The sequence below is a fragment of the Homo sapiens genome, chromosome 1 (genome assembly GCF_000001405.40).
Source record: "Homo sapiens chromosome 1, GRCh38.p14 Primary Assembly".
In the NCBI taxonomy this organism is placed as follows: domain Eukaryota; kingdom Metazoa; phylum Chordata; class Mammalia; order Primates; family Hominidae; genus Homo; species Homo sapiens.
Window position 1 is genome coordinate 200917321 of NC_000001.11, and position 22611 is coordinate 200939931.

The 22611-nt window shown below is 46.2% G+C and overlaps 2 pseudogenes across 1 annotated transcript in view; one reads left to right on the top strand and one right to left on the bottom strand.

Annotated features, from left to right (window-relative positions):
• The first annotated feature begins 11623 nt into the window (after positions 1-11623).
• Positions 11624-22611, top strand: part of MROH3P (maestro heat like repeat family member 3, pseudogene) — a 37725-nt pseudogene continuing 26737 nt past the window's right edge. The window contains exons 1-4 of the transcript NR_147176.1: positions 11624-11744; positions 12570-12658; positions 14949-15098; positions 19860-20011. The product of NR_147176.1 is annotated as a maestro heat like repeat family member 3, pseudogene (transcript). The remainder of the gene's footprint in view (positions 11745-12569; positions 12659-14948; positions 15099-19859; positions 20012-22611) is intronic.
• Positions 16025-16127, bottom strand: RNU6-704P (RNA, U6 small nuclear 704, pseudogene; annotated as a pseudogene).

A 22611-nucleotide genomic window follows, 5' to 3' on the forward strand; every position in this document is an offset into this window, starting at 1 on the left:
TGGTAAATGGGCAGGGTCTGCCTCCTGCAGCTTCCCCCTGGAGTGAGTGCAGAGGCTGTATCCCTAGGAAGGAGTATCTTACACCAGGCCTGCCCACTGTTCTCATCGCAAGCTGCAGGCTGCTGCCCCAAGTGTACAGATGAATCCGAGTTCTAACAAGCGAAAACCAAACAGAGTAACCTTTGAACCATCGACATTACAAATCTCTTGGAAGTCCAGCTTACCGGGTGAGCAGTTGGTTCTGTCTCTCAATTAACTGTGGGTGCTCAGAAGTGGTGGTGATTGCACAAGCCCTCGCTTGAGGTGTACCTAATGGGCACACATCTGCCCACTTCTGGCTACCCCTGTCACAGCTCTAGTCTCTGCATGCCTGTGCTTTTTCAGGCCTGCCTCCCTGAGAAGCCTGGAGCTGAGCCAGGAACAAGACATTGCCTGAGACTTTCAGTGACACCTCCTCTAGCTGACAGCTGTTCAGGAGAGCCAGAACGCTCTCTCTCTCTCTCTCTCTCTCTCTCTCTCTCTCTCTCTATATATATATATATATATATATATATATATAATTTTTTTTTCTTTTGAGACATGGTCGCATTCTGTCACCCAGGCTAGAACGCAGTGGCACCATCATACCTCTCTGCAGAGGTATGACCTGGGCTCAAGCAGTCCTCCCACCTCAGCCTCCCAAGTAGCTGGGAGTACAGGTGCGTGCCACCATGTCCAGCTAATTTTTGGTTATTTGTAGAGATGAGGTCTCACTATGTTGCCCAGGCTGTTCTCGAACTCCTGGGCTTAAGTGATTCTCCTACTTTGGCCTACCAAAGTGCTAGGATTACAGGCATGAGCCACTGCACCCAGGCAGAGAAATCTTTAGATAACATCTACATGCCAACAATTCCCAAATTGGTATCTGCAGTCCAGATCTGCAGTTCTGGAATTCCAGGCTCTTACATCCGACTGCCTATTGATATCTCCACTTTGATGCCTAGTAGACATCTCAAAATTAATATATTCCAAACTGAACTCTTAACTTTATTCCCAACTGCAAATTTGTTCTGTTCCCCACATCAGTTAATGGGAACTCAATCTTTCCAGTGTCTCAAGGCCAAAATTCTTGACTTCTCTCTCTCATACTCACATCTAGCCATCAACTATTCCTATTGGTTCTACCCTCAACATGGATACAGAATCTGATCATTTGCATCTAACCACCTCCCTTGGTGTGAACCACCGTCTCACCTCTGTATTATTGTCATAACCTCCCAGTTGGTCTCTTGCTTCTGCCCACACCCCATGCCATTCTCCACCTCTACTCCTGATCTATTCTCAGCTGAACAGCCAGAGTGCTGTTGTTAATCAAAGTCAGACCACTTTTATTCAAAACCTGCCCAGGGCTCCTGTCCCCAGAGCCAATTGTCTTTACAATAAGCTACGAGTCCCTCATGATCTGCCCCATTACTGCTTTACCTTCACCTCCCACCACTCTTCCCTGCTCCTCCCATTCCAGACACCCAGGCTTCCTTGCTGTTCCTTGAGCTTTCCAGGCACGATCCTGCCTCTGGGCCTTCACACTTGCTGTTGCCTTGGCTTAGAATGCTTTCTTACCAGATATATAAATGGCTTGCCATTCACGTTCTTCAAGCCCACTTAAATTCAATGAGATTTTCTTTGACCTCTGTGTATATACAAACCCAAATGGGCAAATACAAAATAAAAATTCTTTTAGAAGGGTAGTTCCTATGAAGGAACTCCCTGGTGTGTAAGAAGCTCTGTGACAGCAAAGATTATTGTCTCTTTTGTTCCCTGATGTGTCTAGGAGAGTCCTTTTACATAGTAGGTGCTCAATAAATGTATGCTAAAGAATGCACTCATTGATTTCCTACTATATGCCAGGAAGCATTCTAATTTTTTTTCACATATTAATTTATTTAAATCCACAACAATAATAGATACTGTGATGATCATCCCCAGGTTAAGATGTCAGAACTGAAGCTTGGGGGATTTTAGTTTGCTCAAGGTCACTTCTTACATGTATTAAGACTCATTGTTCATTTAATCCTCAAATAATAACAGATAGTATCATCTTCCCTGTCATACAGATGGGGAAGGTAAAGTTGACAGAGTTTAATTTGCTGGAGATCACAGAGCTGATGAAGCAGAGGAGCTGAACTTGGAACTCATGCAGTTTGGTGCCAGGGTCATTGTGTGCAGCTCCCGTGCTTTGGGTCCAAGTCCTATTCTGAGAGGCTTTTCTTGCAGGGCAGTGTGAGAGGGCAGCAGCAACTTGAACTCAGGCCTGTGTCCCATGCTGCTTTGGAGCCCAGTGGTGTCACCAGCTCCTTCCTCTTGCTTTACCTTCTCCCGACTTCACTTGGGGCAAACAGGCTGTATTCCTGGCCTCAACCCTCAGGCTCAGAGAGGCATGCCCTGAAGGCTGTGCCAGTCTAGTTGGCAAAGAAGCCTCCCAGGCTGACTTGGGGTTTCAAGTCCATTCGCAATCAAAACTTTCAAAGTCAGTCTAGGACAGCCCTAGAAATTTGTGGCCACTGGGAGTGACTTAAAGGTCTCCTCCCAATTGTTTTTCCATCCCGGGCCATTGGGCCATACCTGATGCAGAAAGTCTTTTTTTTCTTTTCTTTCTTTCTTTCTTTTTTTTTTGGAGATGGAGTCTCACTCTGTTGCCCAGGCTGGAGTGCAGTAGTGCGATCTTGGCTCACTGCAACCTCTGCTTCCTGGGTTCAAGCGATTCTCCTGTTCTCCTGCCTCAGCCTCCTGAGTAGCTAGGACTACAGGTGCATGCCACCACACTCGGCTAATTTTTTATTTTTAGTAGAGATGGGGTTTAACCATGTTGGCCAGGCTGGTCTCGAACTCCTGACCTTGGGTGATCCACCCACCTCGGCCTCCCAAAGTGCTGGGATTACAGGCATGAGCCACTGCACCCGGCTGAAAATCTCTTATCTAATCCCCACATGATGGCCTTTCCACTTTGGCTTCCATTGGCCTAGAGAAGCTGGTTCTGGGGACCCTGGTAGCTTCTGGGCCTTCTTGGTGGGCAGGAAGGGAGGGGGAGGATGACTCTGGCTTCCTGTTCCATCTGGTGGAATCAGCTAAACTCCCCCAACTACATCCCTTTTCAGGATTGCGCCAATCAGAAAGAGAAGCCTATGAGTTCATAGTGGACTTTCTAGAAGAAGAACATATGGTAAGAAAGTTCTCTGGACCTTTGTGTGAACTGAGGCGGAAAGTAGAAAAAAATAAGAGGGCTTATGCCTCCTTGGGTTTTGAGTACCAGCCCTGGCTTGGAAGCCACCAGATACTCAGCCCATTGTTGCCTCGTGACTGGGCAGATCTTTGGTGGCTAGGCCACTGGACAGGGTGTCTAGGGCTTAGATCTTGCAGTTCCCTTCCTGTAGGAAGGATCTTTGTCAGAGATCCTTAGCCCCACTGTCCTCCAGAGCCCTACACAGGTGGCCAGACATTGGTGAGCAGCAGTCCTGGGGACAGGGACATTGCACTGAGAAAATCAAGTGAGCAATCCATCCTTTGGCCTAGTTGATGGGAATCTGGGCTGGGTGTGAGGAGCAGGGGTGGGGTGTAGGTCTCAGGTGCTGCCTGTGGGCAGAGCCTAAGGGCTGAAGCCCAGCTTATGGGCAGCAATCTGTGTATTGTGTCCTAGTCTGAGTTCACCAAGCTGAAGTTCCTGAGAGCTGTGGAAACCTTGAGTAGTGCTGTGCATGGCCAAGCAGACGGCAATATGGACGATTACTATCCCAAAGCCATCCTGGCCAAGAAAATTGAGGTGAGAAAGACCCAAGCTCTTCTGGGAGTTGGTCATTCAGGGATGAGGATGACAAGTCCCGGACCTGAGGGCTGGCATCTCTCTCTGAGGGGGGTTCTTGTTTTTTTTGTTGTTGTTGTTTGTTTGTTTCCTGGCCTTTCTAGATACTAATTCTTGAAGAATCCACTGAGATTTTGATGGGCAACATGCGTCAGCAAGCCATGCTCTGCATCGTGGCGCTGAGGTGCCTTTCCTGCTCTTACCCCCTCAGAGCGCCTGGGTCTCTTGTGCTCAGAACATTTGGGTTGGGAGGAAGGGCAAGGTTTGGGGACTTAAATTTTGGCCTGTGGGTGGCATAGCCCCCGTGTCTGCCACTTTATCTGCCTGCATCCTTGGGTGGAGGGGGTGTTCTCCAATTGTACTTTTGGAAGCCTATTAAGACGTCCAGTGAGGGAAGCTTCCCTAGCAACCCAGGCCCTCCTTCCCTGGAGGAGAGGCTATTAGAAAGTGTTTGGGGGCTCAGATCCCCACTGTTTCCTGCATCTCAGAAACAGCAGCAGAGCACATTCTCCCAGAGGGTCCCAGTCTCTCCCAGGGACCCCAAAGCCGCTTGTCATTCCCTGCCTCTCCCTGCAGTCAGGTGAATCCACCATTCCACTTGTCCCAGAAACTGGATCTGGTAAATGTGGGCGTCTCCAGCCTGTTCTCTCTGCCGCCTATCGTGCCCAGCCTGTACCGAAGAGACAATGCGAGTCTCTACCTCCAGGTAATCCCCACCTCTTCATGGAGAGCTCCACGGGGAGGTTTTGTCTTTGGAGTCACCTCTTGCCCTTTAACTCTCCCTCCTTTCTCCTGCTCTGACCTCTCTGCAGAGCTCTTGGCCCCATGTTCCTGGGGCTGCTAAGAAGCACTCCAGCTGTCGTACCCTCACCTGTCTTTCCAGGGATTGGCCCATGCTCCCACCCTATCCATGTCCTTGTTCACTAAGGCTCACAGCAGCCTCAGTCACGGGAGGAGACAGTCTGATAATAAAACCCACAGATACTGTGGAGCAACTGACCAGTAGACTGCCAAATCTTCCCAGGGGCCTCTAATTTTTTATTTCATTTTTAATTTTTAAATTTTGAGACGGGGTCTCACTCTGTTGCCCAGGCTGGAGTATAGTGGTGCAATCATAGCTCACTGCAGCCTCAACCTCCGGGGCTCAAGCTATCTTCCCACCTCAGCCTTTGTAGTTTTAAAAATAGATGTGTCCTGGACCTAGCGGAATGAATCTAATGCGGAGAGTCCCACGGGATCTGGCTTTCTTGGGGAGAATGGCCCAATGCCTACATTTCACCAATGGGCTCACAATTTGGGCTGGACCTGGTCCAGTCTTCATTGAGACCAAGAAAAGTCAGCACCAAGGAAGATCAGAGTGTGGCTGGCCATGAGAGAGAGACTGCCGGGGGTGGCAGAGCCAGGCTGGCCCCACTTCCTTCCTCCAGAGGTAGGGGACAAGGAGATGGAGTGCCCCCAGGGAGCCGAGCTGGCACTGTGGCAGTCTGTTCTGGACACTCCCTGTCTCTTCACTTGTCAGAGGGTCCAGGCCTTAGACAACATGTTGCAGGCTCTTGTGATGGACAGGATGAACCCTAACATGCTCATACTACAAAACTTCCTGGAGGTAAGTGGCTGTGGAAATCAAGGAAACTGAAAGTCCATATTAATTCTAGTATGTTTGGGAGGAAAGGAAAAGAATATCAGGATAGCCTAGGTGTCATTCTAGTCCAAAGACCATCGGTTCTCAAGCCTCAGCATGCATAAACATCACTTGAAGACAAATTTCTGTATCTCCCACGAAATACCATTTTGAGGATCACAGTTTTGGAAACATAGCCCACTAAGCTGAGGACCCATTTCTGCCCAGGACTTGGACATATTGGGGCTTCGATGGTAATAACATTTATATCTGTGCCAGACTTTAATCTTCAAAGTATTTTCCCCTTTTGCAGCATCTGCCATTGCTCTGTGATAAAGAAGACCTCAGTGCTTAACCACAGGCTACTCTTATATCCCTTAATGTAATCCCCACCAGAGACTCATTGTACTTCTTTAACTGTCTTTAGAGCTTCAGAGCGTTTCAAATATTCTTAGTTATGACAAATTGTTATCTCCTGAGGGTAGTTGAGTTGGGGAAACAGCCAAGAATCACTTGAAACCGACTTTCATGAACACGATGGTAATCAATTACGGTAATAAAATTTTGCATAAAGCATTAGGTGTGACTACAAAGAAGGAGACAAGATTGCCCAGGCATCTTATAAAAAGACCTTGACAAGGCCAGGTGCAGTGGCTCACGCCTGTAATCCCAGCACTTTGGGAGGCCGAGGCGGGTGGATCACTTGAGGTCAGGTGTTTGTGACCAGCCTGGCCAACATGGTGAAACCCCGTCTCTACTAAAAATACAAAAAAATTAGCTGGGCGTGGTGGTGGGCACCTGTAATCCCAGCTACTCGGGAGGCTGAGGCAGGAGAATCTCTTGAACCCAGGAAGAGGAGGTTGCAGTGAGCTGAGATCAGGCCATTGCACTCCAGCCTGGGCAACAAGAGTGAAACTCCGTCTCAAAAAAAACCCCCCAAAAACCCAAAAAGACCTTGACAAGGGCTTTAGCTAGAGGGAAATTTGTCCACATTTGGATGAGTGACATAGTTCTTTTGGAATGTATCATCTCTGGTATGTTTGTTGAGAAGGATTTTTGTGCTTTTTAGGCAACCTTGCTATAAATGTAAGAACAAATGTTCTGTTGTTCTTGGAGTCTGTGGGGGAACAGAGATGCAAAACTTTGGTCCTGGTCAGGGTACAGTCTTCAAGAGATCCATTACTGGGGTTCTCATTATCCAAAGATAAATGATGCCCTGCAAAATTACCACCTGAAACAGGTTCCAACATTTTGTATAAAATAGTGGAGGAATCAATTTATCTTGATAAATAAAATTAAAAGTATAAAAATAAGTTATTTTTATGCGAACAAAATGTATTTTTGCTACTTTGAGGTAATTCTCAGTCAAGTGTGTATATATTTTAGACATATTTTTCCTACAAAATGACATGATAGCATAATACAACATCATTTATTTCACATTTGACTTTGCAGAGCTGGATCAGAAAGGTCGAATTTGAGGGCTATATGGTTTTCTTAAGGGCCCTCCTTTTTCTTTTGTCTTCTTTTTTTCCGTTTTAAAATTAAGGTATAATTTACATATAGTATAATTCAGCTTTTAGTGTGTAGATCTGTGGGTTTTGACAAATGCATGCAGTCCTGTAACTACAGCCACAATTAAGCTATAGAACAGTTCTATCACCCCCCCAATTCCCCCATGACTCTATGGTCAACCCCTTCCCCATTCCCCATCCCTGGCAATGGCTGATTTGTTTCCTGTCCCTATAGTTTTGCCTTTTCTAAAATGTCATCTAGGTGCAGTGGTTCATGCCTATAGTCCCAGCACTTCAGGAGGGCGAGGTAGGGGGATCACCTAAGCCAAGGAGTTTGAGACCAGCCTGGGCAACATATGAGACCCCATCTCTACTAAAAATAAAAGAAATATATTAGCTGGGCATGTGGTGTGTGCCTGTTGTCTCAGCTACTTGGGAGGCTGTGGTGAGGGGATCGCCTGAAGCCTAGAGGTTGAGGCTGCAGTGAGCTGTGATCATGCTACCGCACTCCAGACTGGGCAACAAAGCTAGACCCTGTCTCGAAAATAATTAATTCATTAATTAAGATAATTAAAAATGTTATCTAAGGCTGAGTACTCCAGCCTGGGGAACAAAGTGAGACCCTATCTCAAAACTAAATAAATAAAATAATTAAAATGTTATCTAAGGCTGAGTACAGTGGCTCATGCCTGTAATTCCAGCACTTTGGGAGGATCACTTGAGCCCAGGAGATCAAGACCAGCCTGGGCAACAGTGAGACCCCCATCTCTACAAATAATAAAAAAATTATCCAGGCGTGGTGGTATGTACCTGTGGTCCCAGCTACTTGGGAGGCTGAGGTGGGAAGATCACCTGAGCCCAGGAGGTCGAGGCTGCAGTAAGCTGTGACAGTGCCACTGCACTCCAGCCTGGGCAATATACAGGGAGACCTTGTCTCAAAAAAAAAAAAAAAAAAAAAAAAAAAGACATCTAAGTAGAATTATCCAGTAGGCAGTCTCTGGAGTCTGTCTTCTTTCATTTAGCATAATGCATTTGAGATTTATTCATGTTGTTATGTGTATCAGTATTTTGTTTCTTTTTATTTTTTAATTGAGTAGATGGATCACAGTTTGTGCATTAATTTTCCAGTTGAGGAACTTTGGGGTTGTTTCCAGACTGGGATGATTACAAATGAATCTTCTATAAATCTTTGTGTGCAGGCTTTTGTATGAACATAGGTTTGTATTTCACTTGAGTAAATTTCTTGGAGTGGGACTGCTGTGTTTTATGGCATGTGGATGTTTCACTTTATAAGATACTTCCCAGCCCAGCGTGGTGGCTCACGCCTGTAATCCCAGCCCTTGGGGAGGCCGAGGAGGGTGGATCACCTGAGGTTGGGAGTTTGAGACCAGCCTGACCAACATGAAGAAACCCCATCTCTACTGAAAATACAAAATTAGCCGGGCGTGGTGGCACATGCCTGTAATCCCAGCTATTTGGGAGGCTGAGGCAGGAGAATCGCTGGAACCTAGGAGGCGGAGATTGCTGTGAGCCGAGATTGCGCCATTGCACCTTAGCCTGGGCAACAAGAGCAAAACTCCCTCTCAAAAAAAAAAAAGGAGGGGGGATACTTCCAAAGTGTTTTCCCAAGTGGCCATTTTCCACTTCCACTAGCAATGTGTAAGAGTCCCAGTTGCTCTGCATCCCTGCCAGCATGTGGTATTGCTAGTGTTTCCTTTTAGTCATTCTTATAGATGTGTAGTGGTATCTCTTTGTGGTTTTAACTTGCGTTTCCTAGTGACTAATGTTGGGCACGTTTTCATAGTCTTATTTGCCATCTACATATCTGCTTTGATGAAGCGTCTATTTAAATCTTTTGCCCATTTTTTTATTGGGTTGTTTTCTTATTTGGGGGTTTGAGGGTTATTTTATTTTATTTTATTTTATTTTATTTTATTTTATTTTATTTTATTTTATTTTATTTGAGATAGAATCTCACTCTGTTGCCCAGGCTGGAGAGCAGTGACACCATCACTACTCACTGCAGCCTCGAACCTCCCCGAGAGACCTTCCCACCTCAGGCTCCTGAGTAGCTAGGACCATAGGTGTGCGCCACCATGCTCCACTAATTTTTGAATGTTATGGGCCAGGCACAGTGGCTCATGCCTGCAGTCCCAGCACTTTGAGAGGCTGAGGCGGGTGGATCACTTGAGGTCAGGAGTTCAAGATCAGCCTGGCCAATGTGGCAGAACCCCATCTCTACTAAAAATACAAAACTTAGCCAGGTGTGGTGGCATATGCCTGTAATCCCAGCTACTGAGGTGGCTGAGGCAGGATAATCTCTTGAACCTGGGGGGAGAAGGTTGCGGTGAGCCAAGATCATGCCACTGCACTCCAGCCTGGGCGACAGAGCGAGAATCCGTCTCAAAAAAAAAAAAAAGAAAAAGTTTATGTAGAGCTATGGTCTCCCTATGTTGCCCATACTGGTCTCGAGCTCCAGGGTGCAAGCAATCCTCCTGCCTTGGCCTCCCAAAGTGCTGGTATTACAAGTGTGTGAGCCACCACGCCCAGCCTTGAGAGCTCTTTGTATATTCTGGATATAAATATTTTGTCAGATATGTGATTTGCAGACATTTTCTCCCATTTTGTGGCCTGATTTTATACAGTGTCTTTTTTTTTTTTTTTTTTTTTTTTGAGACGGAGTCTCACTCTGTCGCCCAGGCTGGAGTGCAGTGGCATGATCTCAGCTCACTAAACCTCTGCCTCCCCGGTTCAAGCAATTCTCCTGCCTCAGCTTCCTGAATAACAGGGATTACAGGCATGTGCCACCACACCCAGCTAATTTTCGTATTTTTAGCAGAGACAGGATTTCACCATATTGGCTGGGCATTCATTGAATGCCCACATCGTGTTGAACTCCTAACCTCAGGTGACGCACCCACCTCAGCCGCCGAAAGTGTTGGGATTACAGGCGTGAGCCACTGCACCCAGCCCTGGCCACTCTTAACAGTATCTTTTGAAGAGCAGGTAGTTATTCATTTTGATGAAGTCCAAGTCATTATTTTTTTTTATGGTTATAGGAATTTTTGCCTCCCTTAAGTATTTTCTCATTTTCTTCTAGAATCTTATCATTCTAGATTTTAAGTCTGTGGTCAATTCTGAATTAACTTGTGTATTGGACGGTCAGGTACACGTTGTAGTTCATTTTTCTTTTTTTGGCACATGGATGTCCATGATGGGGTTCAATGCTCTGGGAGAAAGGCTACCCTGAAGGACACCTGTCCAGCAGCTATGATACGGGACACACTTTCCCAAAAGTTTGTAGCAAGCAGGACACAGGCCTGTCTTCCCTGGTGGGATCTCAACCTAGTGTGGTAATAATAACACTTACAGGGAAGTGTTGTTATGGGAGGATAGAGTGCATTATTCTATTCAGAATACTTACCTGTGTCACTATGATTATTAACCTCCAGAAATGAATGGCTCTGAATCTCATCCTTCAGAGACCACTTTACCCCTTCCCCTGGCCTAGCAGGTAGGGGTTTGCATGGATATGCCACCAAGAGAGCCCTGTCTCCCCATCTTATCCCATTCCTGCTTACCCACTGCTTTGTAATTCTACATCTAAGGCACAGCACTGTCTTTAAACATTCCTGTCAGAAGAGACCCAGAAGGTAGCAGGTGAAGCCCCGGAGACTTTTTTTTTTGAGACAGAATCTCACTCTGTTGCCCAGGCTGGAGCGCAGTAGTGCGATCTCAGCTCACCGCAACCTCCGCCTCCCAGGTTCAAGCCATTCTGCTGCCTCAGTCTCCCGAGTAGCTGGGACCACAGGCATGTACCACCACACCCAGCTAATTTTTTGTATAGCCCCGGAGACTCCTAAACCCACCTTTGCTTTGCCAAGTTCATGGGGCCGTGTGCTCTGGTGCCTGGCACAACTCCCTCCTTTTTGTCTTTTTAGCAGTCAGAGATGTGGAATTGAGAAGGAAGGGAGCAGCACTCCCACAGAAGGGGTTCACAAGGTCTCTTTACTCCTTTTCCGGATCATCATACCTTGGTCATTACTGTCAGACAAAGTGTATGAACAGATGCGGGCCTTGGGCACTATTTCCTGGCTGCTGAGGTTTATTTGCAATTTTCCCGAACTGTCAGTGAGTGCTTGGAGTGGGGGGAAAGGCTGACCCAGTGGGCCCTGCTTCTCTGCACATGGGGTACCTGAGAGTCTGTGGTTCTGCAGGGGGTTACTGGGGGGTGGGTGGTCAGAGTGTCCCTCTTTTTTTGCATTAGTGCCTTTTCTGTTCCTATGGGGGAAGAGGCTTAACTTGTTTGCTTGGTTTGCCCTTGGCCAAGTGAGTTTCAATTGGCTGGACACATCTCAGCCTTGTTGGGGGACCTTGGCCTAAACAGCTGGGTTGGGTCCACAGCTTCCCACTGGCTAACATATTTTAGGGATCTGGCTGCCCCATTTCCCTGGGTGCTGCTTTGAAAGGTTTTCTTGGGCAGGGAAAGAGTGTGGAGCTGGTGTGGTGAGGGGATACCTGCAGGCAAATGATTTAGTGGTGTAGAGGGGTGGGGAGGTTGGAGAGGGATGGTGGCCACAGTATGGGGAATTTCCTTTTGGGGTGATGGGGAGTTAACCAGTTTCCTCTTCTGGGCAGCACATGGAGGAATTCTCAATGAGTGGGAAACTGATGAGCATCTTCGGCCTGTTCGTCATGGGCTGCAACCACGAGATCAGCATAGAGGCATCAGAGGCGTTGCATTACCTGTTCAAAATCCTTGTGTTTCAGAGAAGTAAGCAACATGAGCCTGAGTGGCCACTGGGCTACAGCCGTGGGGACCCATGAATAACAAGAGCATATAAGCACCATTCACTGAATGCCCACATTGTGTCAGGCACACGATGAAGGGCAGTTCCTTCTCATGAGGGCAATGGAGTAAATATGCTATGATGCCCCAAGATGAGGGATCCCCATTACAAGTAGATCTGGAAACTTTATCTGGATGAGCTCCAACCCCATTGCTGATGCAATGCCCTCTTGTAAGAGATTCTAAGAGATTCTCGGGGAAAAGGGGAGCTAGGCTTGCAGCCACCTGTGGAATCAACTTGGATACTCAATATTTCTCAGTGGTCTCAGCCTTACTGCTAGGCCTAAGACTGGGAAAATGAACATCTTTTCTTAGGGAACAAATTTGGGAGTGCCAGATTGAGACCCTCTTTGCTCAAGGAAAACAAAAAATACAAAGAGTCACACACGCTTACAGAGGTGCCAGAAGGATTTGCAAATATCCCTAAAAGGAGTTTCAGAAACTCTGACTTCTCATGGTTCAACAGGGCATACTTCTTATAAGGGCATTTGCTCAGCACCCACGGGTAGAACAGTCCACATTCTGGCACGGCGCAGGAACAGCTGCAAGGACCAGACTGAGTCCCCAGCCACATTCTCCCTCCACCCATTGGCCTGGTGCTGGGGAACTCTTCCCATTCTGTTGAGCAAATGTTATTTCACCCATTTCACTCTGTTGATCTTCTCTGAGGTTTGGAGGGGAAATAAAGAAGGGTGTGTTCCTATTTCCCTGTTAAGGCCCTGCCCCTTAATTGTTGTTTTTGGATTGAAGGTGTGAAACAAAAGACAGAGACTATCCTGAAGGATTTGCAGAAGCATTTCCATGGAGCATGGCTTGCCAGCCTCCAGGATCTAACACTGGTAACCCTCACTCTCCACAGTGCATGAAATGCCCAGATGGGGAGCCATGACAGGGAAGAAAGAGAGCTGGGGTGGGGAGATTGTAGAGGGCCTGGGTGGGGCCACAGAGGAGTACTCCTTCACCCAGGGGAGTGTCTCCAAAGCTCAAGGTCTCATGGACAGCAGGCTGGAGGGGTAAGACTCATTCCCTAGCTGCACTTGAGTTGACTGAGGCTTGAGGTCACTGAGAGAGTTCTTTTTTTTTTGAAATAGAGTCTTTCTCTGTCACCCAGGCTGGAGTGGCACGATCTCAGCTTACTGCAACCTCTGACTCCTGGGTTCAAATGATTCTGTAGCCTCAGCCTCCCGAGTAGCTGGGATTACAGGTGCGTGCCACCACGCCCAGCTAATTTTTGTATTTTTTAGTAGAGATGGGGTTTCACCATGTTGGCCAGGCTGGTCTCAGACTCCTGACTTCAGGTGATCCACCCGCGCTGGCCTCCCAAAGTGCTAGGATTACAGGCATGAGCCACTGCACCTGGCCAAGAGAGTTCTTTAAAAGACGTATAGTCAACCCTATTCTCCTCCTACAGATTGTGCCCTTGTACCTTATTTGTAGCCTAGCCTTAATTTTTTTAATTCAGTAAAGATGTATTGGTTGTCTTAGCCGGGTGTGGTGGCTCATGCCTGTAATCCCAGCATTTTGGGAGGCCGAGGCAGGTGGATCACGAGGTCAGGAGATCGAGACCATCCTGGCTAACATGGTGAAACCCCATCTCCACTAAAAATACAAAAAAAAAATTAGCCGGGCATGGTGGTGGGCGCCTGTAGTCCCAGCTACTTGGGAGGCTGAGGCAGGGGAATGGCGTGAACCTGGGAGATGGAGCTTGCAGTGAGCCGAGATCGAGTCACTGCACTCCAGCCTGGGCGACAGGGCGAGACTCCATCTCAAAAAACACAAAAAGATATATTGGTTGTCTTAGATATGGTGTCTCCAGGCTCAATCAACTCAAATCACTACAGTCAGAAATCCAGGAGTCATCCCTTGCTCTTTCCTCTCCCTCACTCTTCACATCCAATTCAACACCAGGTTTGTTCATTCTGCCTCCTGGATAGCTCTTGAATTTGTCCACTCTGCTCCAGCCCCACTGTGGGGCCCCCAGCATCTCTTGCCTGGGTCACTCCAGCAGCCCCTTACTGAGCATCCTGTTTCCAACTGTGCTTCTTGTCACATCACTTTCTATGCTACAGTCAGAGAACTGCATTTCTAAAATGCAAATGCTGAGATGTATTATTCCCTTTCAGACTGCATTGAATCCCCACTGTCCTCATTCTAAAGTCCAAACTTGTTCACTTGACCCACAAGACCCTTCATGATCTGGTCCCTGCTGTAACTGTCCTGCCTCATCTTGTCTTAGTCTCCTTTTTCCATCTGGCCCAGGTCTCCCTTGCAGGACACAGTAGTTAGGCTGAACTTCCTTCCACTCCAGGCCTTTGCATATTCTGTTCCCTCTGCCTGGAACTCTGTCCTTCTTTTTCCTTGGGTCTGAATCATGGCAGTAGGGGAACCAAACACATCCTTCTTCACATGGCAGTAGGAAGGAGAAGTGCTGAGCAAAGGAGAAAACATCCCTTATAAAACCATCAGATCTTGTGAGAGCTCACTCACTATCACAAGAACAGCATGAGGGTAACCACCTTGACACATGAGGATTATGGGAACTACAATTCAAGATGAGATTTGGGTGGGAATACAGCCAAACTGTATCACTGACATTGCACTATAACTGCCTGTTTACTTGCCCTGACTTGATGGTAAATTCCTTGAGGGTAAAGGCATTGTATGTCTTAGTCACAGTTGTCCTGAGCTCCCAGCAATAGAACCAGGCACAGAGCTGGGCCTCAATATTGTTTGAGTGAATGAGCTTCACGTGGATATGCAGGTGCAGGCTCAGAGGCATGAGGCATGTCTGCTGTACATAATAGCACTCCTACTTGCTTTGGAATGCTGCAAGCTCACTAAACATCAGAACTAATTTCCAATGGACTCACTTGCTTGCATTCCACATGGAAGTAGAAATGCCTTTTGCATTGTCTTCTGTATCAAGTTGTCAGGACCATTGCTCCTTCCTGGAGACTTCAGAGCTGGTGGCACTCTGAGGCTTGGCTTACACCACGGAATAGCCAGATGCTGACCAGGGGCTGCCTCCACTGGCCCCTGGTTGATTAGTCTCTTTGGAAGCCAGAGGCTTTGGGGCAGACCCAAGTTGGGATGCTGACATTGTGGAGACAGCTGTTCTTCTTTCTTCAGTTCTTCAAGAAATACCTGAACCCTGAGAAGAGAGCAGATATGATCATGGTGAGCATGGAGGCCATGACCAACACCAGCAGGCGTGACATCTCTGCAGCTTCCAAGATGTTAAAGATGATCCTGAAGTACACGATTCCAGAGATCGGGAAGGTAGCAGCTCTGGGCAACCTAATGGTTCAAGGTCAATTTAAGGATTCTTCCTTTCTGTTCTGTTTTGGGTCTTGTTCTATCTCCTACCAGTTTGAGTTTAAAGAATCACATGCTTCAACCCAGAGGAGAAAAGGCTAAATGAGGAGTTGTGATTGTGGAAAAGACTCTTCTTTGGGAAGGGTTGACCATCTGGCTTCCATCTCCACCAGGATGGGAAGAAGAATTGAGTCAAAGCTATAGCAGACTACTAGGACCTGCTAGGACCAGGAAAGACCACAGTCATTCTTCCTGCTTCCAGACAGTATTTGATATGTTAGATCTATAGGTGCCTTCTTGTTTATTCAGGAGGGATAATTCAGGGGTGTGTGTGTATATAAATATAAATATAATATATATCCATAAACTTGTGACACACTAACATAAATAGAGATGAAATACAGAGACTCCTTTATGAGACCTGGGACTGGTTCTCAGTAAAATTAAGACAGCGTAGGGCTGGGCGTAGTGGCTTACACCTGTAATCCTAGCACTTTGGGAGGCTGAGGTAGGGGGATCACTTGAGCCTAGGAGTTTGAAACCAGCCTGGGCAATATAGCAAGACCCCATCTCTTAAAAACATTAATAAAAAAATTAAGACAGCACAGTTTAGCTGTCCTTTTTATTATAGTATTTTAAAATATCTGATGGACTGATGGAGTCCCTCTTCTTTTAATGGCCTAACCCACTTCTCTAACTCACTTATGACCTCTCCACTATAGGTCCTATGAGCAGTTCCAGGATCTTACATTTTCCACTTCTCTGGCCTGGATTGCCTTTTGATTGAATGCCTCAGAGCAGACCACTGATAAGTTGAAGGGGACCCCAAAGGTCAACTACTCTAACTCCCCACTTGATGCTTGTAATCTCTTTTTAAGGTTTTAAATCTATTTTGTATGGAATGCTTCACGAATTTACATGTCATCCTTGTGCAGGGGCCATGCTAATCTTCTCTGTGTTATTCCAATTTTAGTATCTGTGAAGCGAGCACAATGCTCGTAATCTCTTCGAGAGCACCCCAGACCACTGGACACCCAGACGGTGCTGAAAGCAATCTTGAGGCCCTCGCTACCTTAAACCATAGCTCATTTGTATTTGTAAATGACTTTCTTTTTTAAAAAAAATAATTTTTAATTTACCAAAAGGATATATATTTATGGCATACAACATGATATTTTGAAATATGTATACATTGTGGAATGGCTAAACCAAGCTAATTAACATATCGATTAACTCACATACTTTTTTTTTGTAGTGAGAACATTGAAAATCTACTGTCTTAGCAAATTTCAAGTATAGAATAGTCACCATGTTGTACAATAGATCTGAACTTATTTCTCCTGTTTAAATGGAATTTTGTATCCTTTGACCAATATCTCCCCAATCCTCCTCACCTCCAGCCCCTGGTAACCACCATTGTACTCTCTGCTTCTATGAGTTTGACTTTTTTAGATTCCACATCTAAGTGAGATCACCCAGTATTTGTTTTTCTATACCTGGCTTGTTTTGTTTTTCAAAACAAAACAGGTTCATGTATACTGTTAAATGACAGGGTTTCCTTCATTTTTAAGGGTGAATAGCATTCCATTGTGTATATGCCACATTTTCTTTATCCATTTATCTGTTGTTGGAAGCTTAGGTTCTTTCCCTATCATGGCTATTACAAAAAACGCTGCAATGAACAGGGGAGTGCAGATATCTCTTCCAGACACTGGCTTCATTTTCTTTGGCTATATACCCTTAAGTGGTATTGGTAGTTTTACTTTTAGTTTTTTGAATAACCTCCATAATGTTGGAATTTTCCATAATGGTTGTGCTAATTTACATTCTACCAACAGTGTATAAGGGTGAACCACTTTCCTTATCTAAAAGTTCTAACTTACAGCACACTGAAGTCTGCATCCCCATAGTTTCTAGTCCCTGGCCCAAGTTTACCTTCTTGGGTTATGCAGAATTCAATTAATATTCAAGTGTTACTAATGCTAGGTGCTATATACTGTGCTAGTTTCTTTTACATATTCTTGTATTGAATTCTTACAACATATCTGTTGTAAGAATTATTTTCTCTTTAGAAACGAGAAGGCCAGGTGCAGTGGCTCACACCTGTAATCCCAGCACTTTGGGAGGCCTAGGAAGGAGGATCGCTTGAGTTTGGGAGTTCAAGACCAGCCTGGGCAATATAGTGAGACCTCATTTCTACTAAAAATCAAAAGCATTAGTTGCGCATGGTGGCACACACTTGTAGTCCCAACTACTAGGGAGGTTGAGATGAGAGGATAGCTTGAACTCACGGGATGGAGGCTGCAGGGAGCTATAATTGCGCCACTGCACCCCAGCTAGGACACCAGAGCTAGACCCTGTCTCGAAAGAAAAACAAAACGAGAAAAGGCTCAAAGACGCCATGAGCCTTAATTACTGAAGTTTCGCCAGCAGTTACTAGGTAACAGACACTGTTCCAACCAATTCAGATGCATTAACTCAGAACTGTTGATGTGGGTAAAATCGTCCTCATATTTTGCGTGAGGAAATAGAGCGCAGAGGATGAAAAGCTTTCCCAAGCTCACACAGTTGGCAAGTGGGGAGGTGAAATTCACATCCAGGTAGTATGACTTTAGAGTTCATGCGGACCACTACCTGTTGCCTCCACCCCACATGGCCAGTAAACAGCAAGGACTGACTCTTCTCTCCCTCCATAATAGTCTTGAGACCATTTGGAGGCAGCAATCGTATGCCCTCCGGCTTCCTCTCTCTAAGTTACTCATCCTTAGATTCTTCCTTCATTCTTCATGACATGGTTTCCAGACATGGTTCTGGTCTCCCCTGGCTGCTCTCTATTTTGTCCCTCTTAAAATATGGGGTCTGTTCCGTGGTGGGCAGGTCTGTATAAAGCTACCCTTAAAATCCAAGGAAGCTGAGAGGTCAAAGAAAGAGGTTGATGAATCCAGTTTCTGAGAAAGAAACTACTCCGGAGGCAGAGGCAGGAGAATTGCTTGAACCCAGGAGGCGGAGGTTGCAGTGAGCCCAGATTGCGCCACCGCACTCCAGCCTGGGAGGCAGAAGGAAACTCCGTCTCAAAAAAAAAAAAGACCCGGCGTGGTGGCTCACGCCTGTTATCCCAGCACTTTGGGGGGCTGAGGGAGGTGGATCACCTGAGGTCAGGAGTTTGAGATCAGCCTGACCAACATGGCAAAACCACATCTCTACTAAAGATACAAAAATTAGCCGGGCGTGGTGGCATGTGCCTGTAGTCCCAGCTACTTGGGAGGCTGAGGAAGGAGGATCAAACCGGGGGGTGGAGGTTGCAGTAAGCTGAGATTGCGCCACTGCATTCCAGCCTGGGCGACCGAGCCAGACTCCGTCTGAAACAAAACAAAAAACAAAACAGAAGCCATGTCCCAGGAGGCTGCGAGATGAGATGGTGGACCCCCCAGCCATCACCCACCATGGCCCAGGGCTTCTATACAATAGGAGTCGGACATGGTGGGTGTGCCTCTAGTCCCAGCTACTGGGAGGCTGAGGTGGGAGAATCACTGGAGCCCAGGACATCAAGTCTGCAGTGAGCTATGAGCATGCCACTACCCTGTCTCTAAGAAACTAACAAATATACCTTAGAGAAGGAATGTGTTGGGCAATTAAAATCAACCCCTCAGGAAAAAGCAAGAATGCTACGCAAATCTGCCCTAAGGGCAGGATTTATGGTAAGGGTTGTTTCGACCTAAGGACTGGATTTACAGCAACAATAGATAAAGTAAGTCCGGGCACGGTGGCTCACGCCTGTAATCCCAGCACTTTGGGAGGCCGAGGCGAGTGGATCAGGAGGTCAGGAGATCGAGACCATCCTGGCCAACATAGTGAAACCCTGTCTCTACTAAAAATACAAAAATTAGCTGGGCGTGGTGGTGAGTGCCTATAGTCCCAGCAATTCGGGAGACTGAAGCAGGAGAATCTCTTGAACTCAGAAGGTGGAGGTTGCAGTGAGCTGAGATGGTGCTACTGCACTCCAGCCTGGCGATAGAGCAAGACTCTGTCTAAAAAAAAAAAAAAAAAAAAATAGATCAAGTAGAAATCTTAGAGGTATTCTGGGAACCGAGATTAATCAGAAGTCAATATGGTGACCAAAACGAAAAGAAAAGGAAAAAATTAAACAAAAAGAAAAAAAAGAAGTCAATATTGTAGGCCAGGCGCTGTGGCTCATGCCTGTGACCCTAGCACTTTGGGAGGCCGAGGTGGGCAGACTGCCTGAGCCCAGGAGTTCAAGACCAGCGTGGGCAACATGGTAAAATCCTGTCTCCAATAAAAACACAAAAAAAATCAGCCGGGAGAGGTGATGTGCACCTGTAATCCCAGCTACTCGGGAGGCTGAGGCACGATAAAACCCAGGAGGTGGAGGTTGCAGTGAGCTGAGATCTCACCACTGCACTCCAGTTGCATGGGCGACACAGCGAGACTCTGTCTCAAAAAAAAAAAAAAAACAAAAAAAAGTCAATATGGTGGATTAGCATCCAACATGGGGTTGCTTCAGGCCCCATAGGGTCCAAAACAGTCCACAGTCCTGAGGGTATGGCCTGACCAGAGCAGAGTGCAGTGGGACGGTGACTTTTTTGGTCTGGGCATGCTATGTATGCATCATGTGCAGCTCTACAGGTGAAGTGGGTGCCTAGTTATGTGGATGCTGGTGATCTGGTGTTGAATGTCTGGAAAGAACCTCCTTTTCCCTCATTTCAGGTGCTGGAAATCATCCAGTACATTCACTACCACATGAACAGCATTACAGAAACCACAGCCCAAAAGACCATTAAGAAGATCCTGTATCTGCTGTCCCAGTACTACACTGAAGTTATCCTGACAGTATTGAAGATAGAAGATCAGTCACAAAAGTAGGTGACTTTCGATCCCACAAGTACATGCCCCCAATAGTCTGTTTGCTTCTTCTTAAAACATATTCAGGACCTGAGCAGGGGCTCACTTCTGTAATCCCAGCACTTTGGGAGGCCCAGGTGGACAGATCACCTGGGAGTCAGGAGTTCGAGACTAGCCTGGCTGACATGGTGAAACCCCGCCTCTACTAAAAATACAAAAAATTAGCCAGGCGTGGTGGCGGGTGCCTGTAATCCCAGCTATTCAGGAGGCTGAGTCAGGAGAATTGCTTGAACTTGGGAGGCAGAGGTTGCAGTGAGCCGAGATCACGCCATTGAACTCCAGCCTGGGCAACAAGAACGAAACTCCATCTCCAAAAAAAAAAGGAAAAAAGTAGCGGCTGGGCACGGTGACTCACGCCTGTAATTTCAGCACTTTGGGAGGCCGAGGTCGGTGGATCATCTGGGGTCAGGAGTTCAAGACCATCCTGGCCAATATGGTGAAACCCCATCTCTACTAAAAATACAAAAATTAGCCAGGCGTGGTGGCGGGGGCCTGTAATCCCAGCTACTCAGGAGGCTGAGGCAGGAGAATCGCTTGAACCTGGGAGGCGGAGGTTGCAGTGAGCCGAGATCGTGCCACTGCACTCCCGCCTGGGAGATAGAGTGAGATGCTGTCTAATATATATATATAGATATAGATAGATAGGTAGCTGTTCTAACAAGTGTGTGGTAGCCTCTCATTGTGGTTTTAATTTGCATTTCCCTAATTCAATTGCAACTAATGATGATGGGCATCGTTTCATGTCTTTCTTTGCCATTCATATATCTTCTTTAGTCAAGTATCCAAATCTTTAACCCATTTCATTGTTGGGTCGTTTGTTTTCTTATTGGTGAGTTTTGAGAGTTCTTTATATATTCTGTATACAAGTCTTTTGTCAGATATACAATTTTCATGTATATCTCCCATTTTGTGGATTGTCTTTTCATTCTCTTAAGAGTTCAAAAGTTTGTAATTTGATGAAATCCAGTGTTTTGTTTCTTATGGATCATATTTAGAGTCATAGGTATTTCTTTCCATGATTTCTTCTAGAAGTTTTAACTTTTGTGTTTTATATTTATATTTCACTTTTACTTTTTAGAAAGCGTGAGGAATGGGACTAGGTTCAGTTTGTTGCATATAGAAGTCTAATTGTTCCAGCACCATTTGTTGCAGAGATTATCATTTCTCCACTGAATTGTCTTTGCACATTTATCAAAAATCAATTGACGGCTGGGCGTGGTGGCTCACGCCTGTAATCCTAGCACTTTTGGAAGCCAAGGTGGGCAGATCACTTGAGGTCAGGAGTTCGAGACCAGTCTGGCCAACATGGCAAAACCCCATCTCTACTAAAAATACAAAAATTAGCCGGGGATGGTTGCTTGCACCTGTTATCCCAGCTACTTGGGAGGCTAAGGCATGAGAATCACTTGAACTGGGGAGGTGGAGGTTGCAGTGAGCCAAGATCGCGCCACTGCACTCCAGCCAGGGTGACAGAGTGAGACCCTGCCTAAAAAAAAAAAAAAAAAAAAAAAAAAAAAAAATCAGTTGACAGTATTTGTGTGCCTCTAATTATGGGCTGTCTTCTGATCCATTAAGCTATATGTCAGTTCTTTCATCAATACCGTACTGTCTCTAATAGTGTAGTTTTATTTTAAGTATTAAATCAGGTAGGATGAGTTCTTCAATTTTATTACTTTTTTTTTTTTTTTTTTTTTTGAGATAGAGTCTGACTGTCACCCAGGCTGGAGTGCAGTGGTGCAATCATAGCTCACTGCAGCGTTGAACTTTTGGGCTGAAGCAATCCTCCCACTTCCACTTCCTGAGTAGCTGGAACCACAGGCACATGCCACCTCACCCAGCCTTTTTTTTTTTTTTTTTTTGGTAGAAACGGGGTCTCACCATGTTGCATGGCTGGTCTCAAAACTCCTGAGCTCAAATGATTCTCCCGCCTCAGCCCAAGTGCTGGGATTACAGGGTGTGAGCAGTTGCACCTGGCCTATAACTCTTTCTCAAAATTGTTTTGACTATTTTATTTTGCTTTTCCATATAATTTTTTTTTTTTGAGACAGAGTCTCACTCTGTCACCCAGGCTGGAGTGCAATGGCATGGTCTTGGCTCACTGCAAACTGCATATCCCAGGTTCAAGTGATTCTCTCACCTCAGCCTCCCAAGTAGCTGGGAATACAGGTGTGTGAGCAGTTGCACCTGGCCTATAACTCTTTCTCAAAATTGTTTTGACTATTTTATTTTGCTTTTCCATATAATTTTTTTTTTTTTGAGACAGAGTCTCACTCTGTCACCCAGGCTGGAGTGCAATGGCATGGTCTTGGCTCACTGCAAACTGCACATCCCAGGTTCAAGTGATTCTCTCACCTCAGCCTCCCAAGTAGCTGGGACTACAGGTGTGTGCCACCACACCCGGCTAATTTTTGTGTTTTTAGTGAAGATGGGGTTTCACTATGTTGGCCAGGCTGGTCTCAAACTCCTGATCTCATGATTTGCCTGTGTCGGCCTCCCAAAGTGCTGGGATTACAGGCATGAGCCGCCACGCCTGGCCTGCTTTTCCGTATAAATTTTA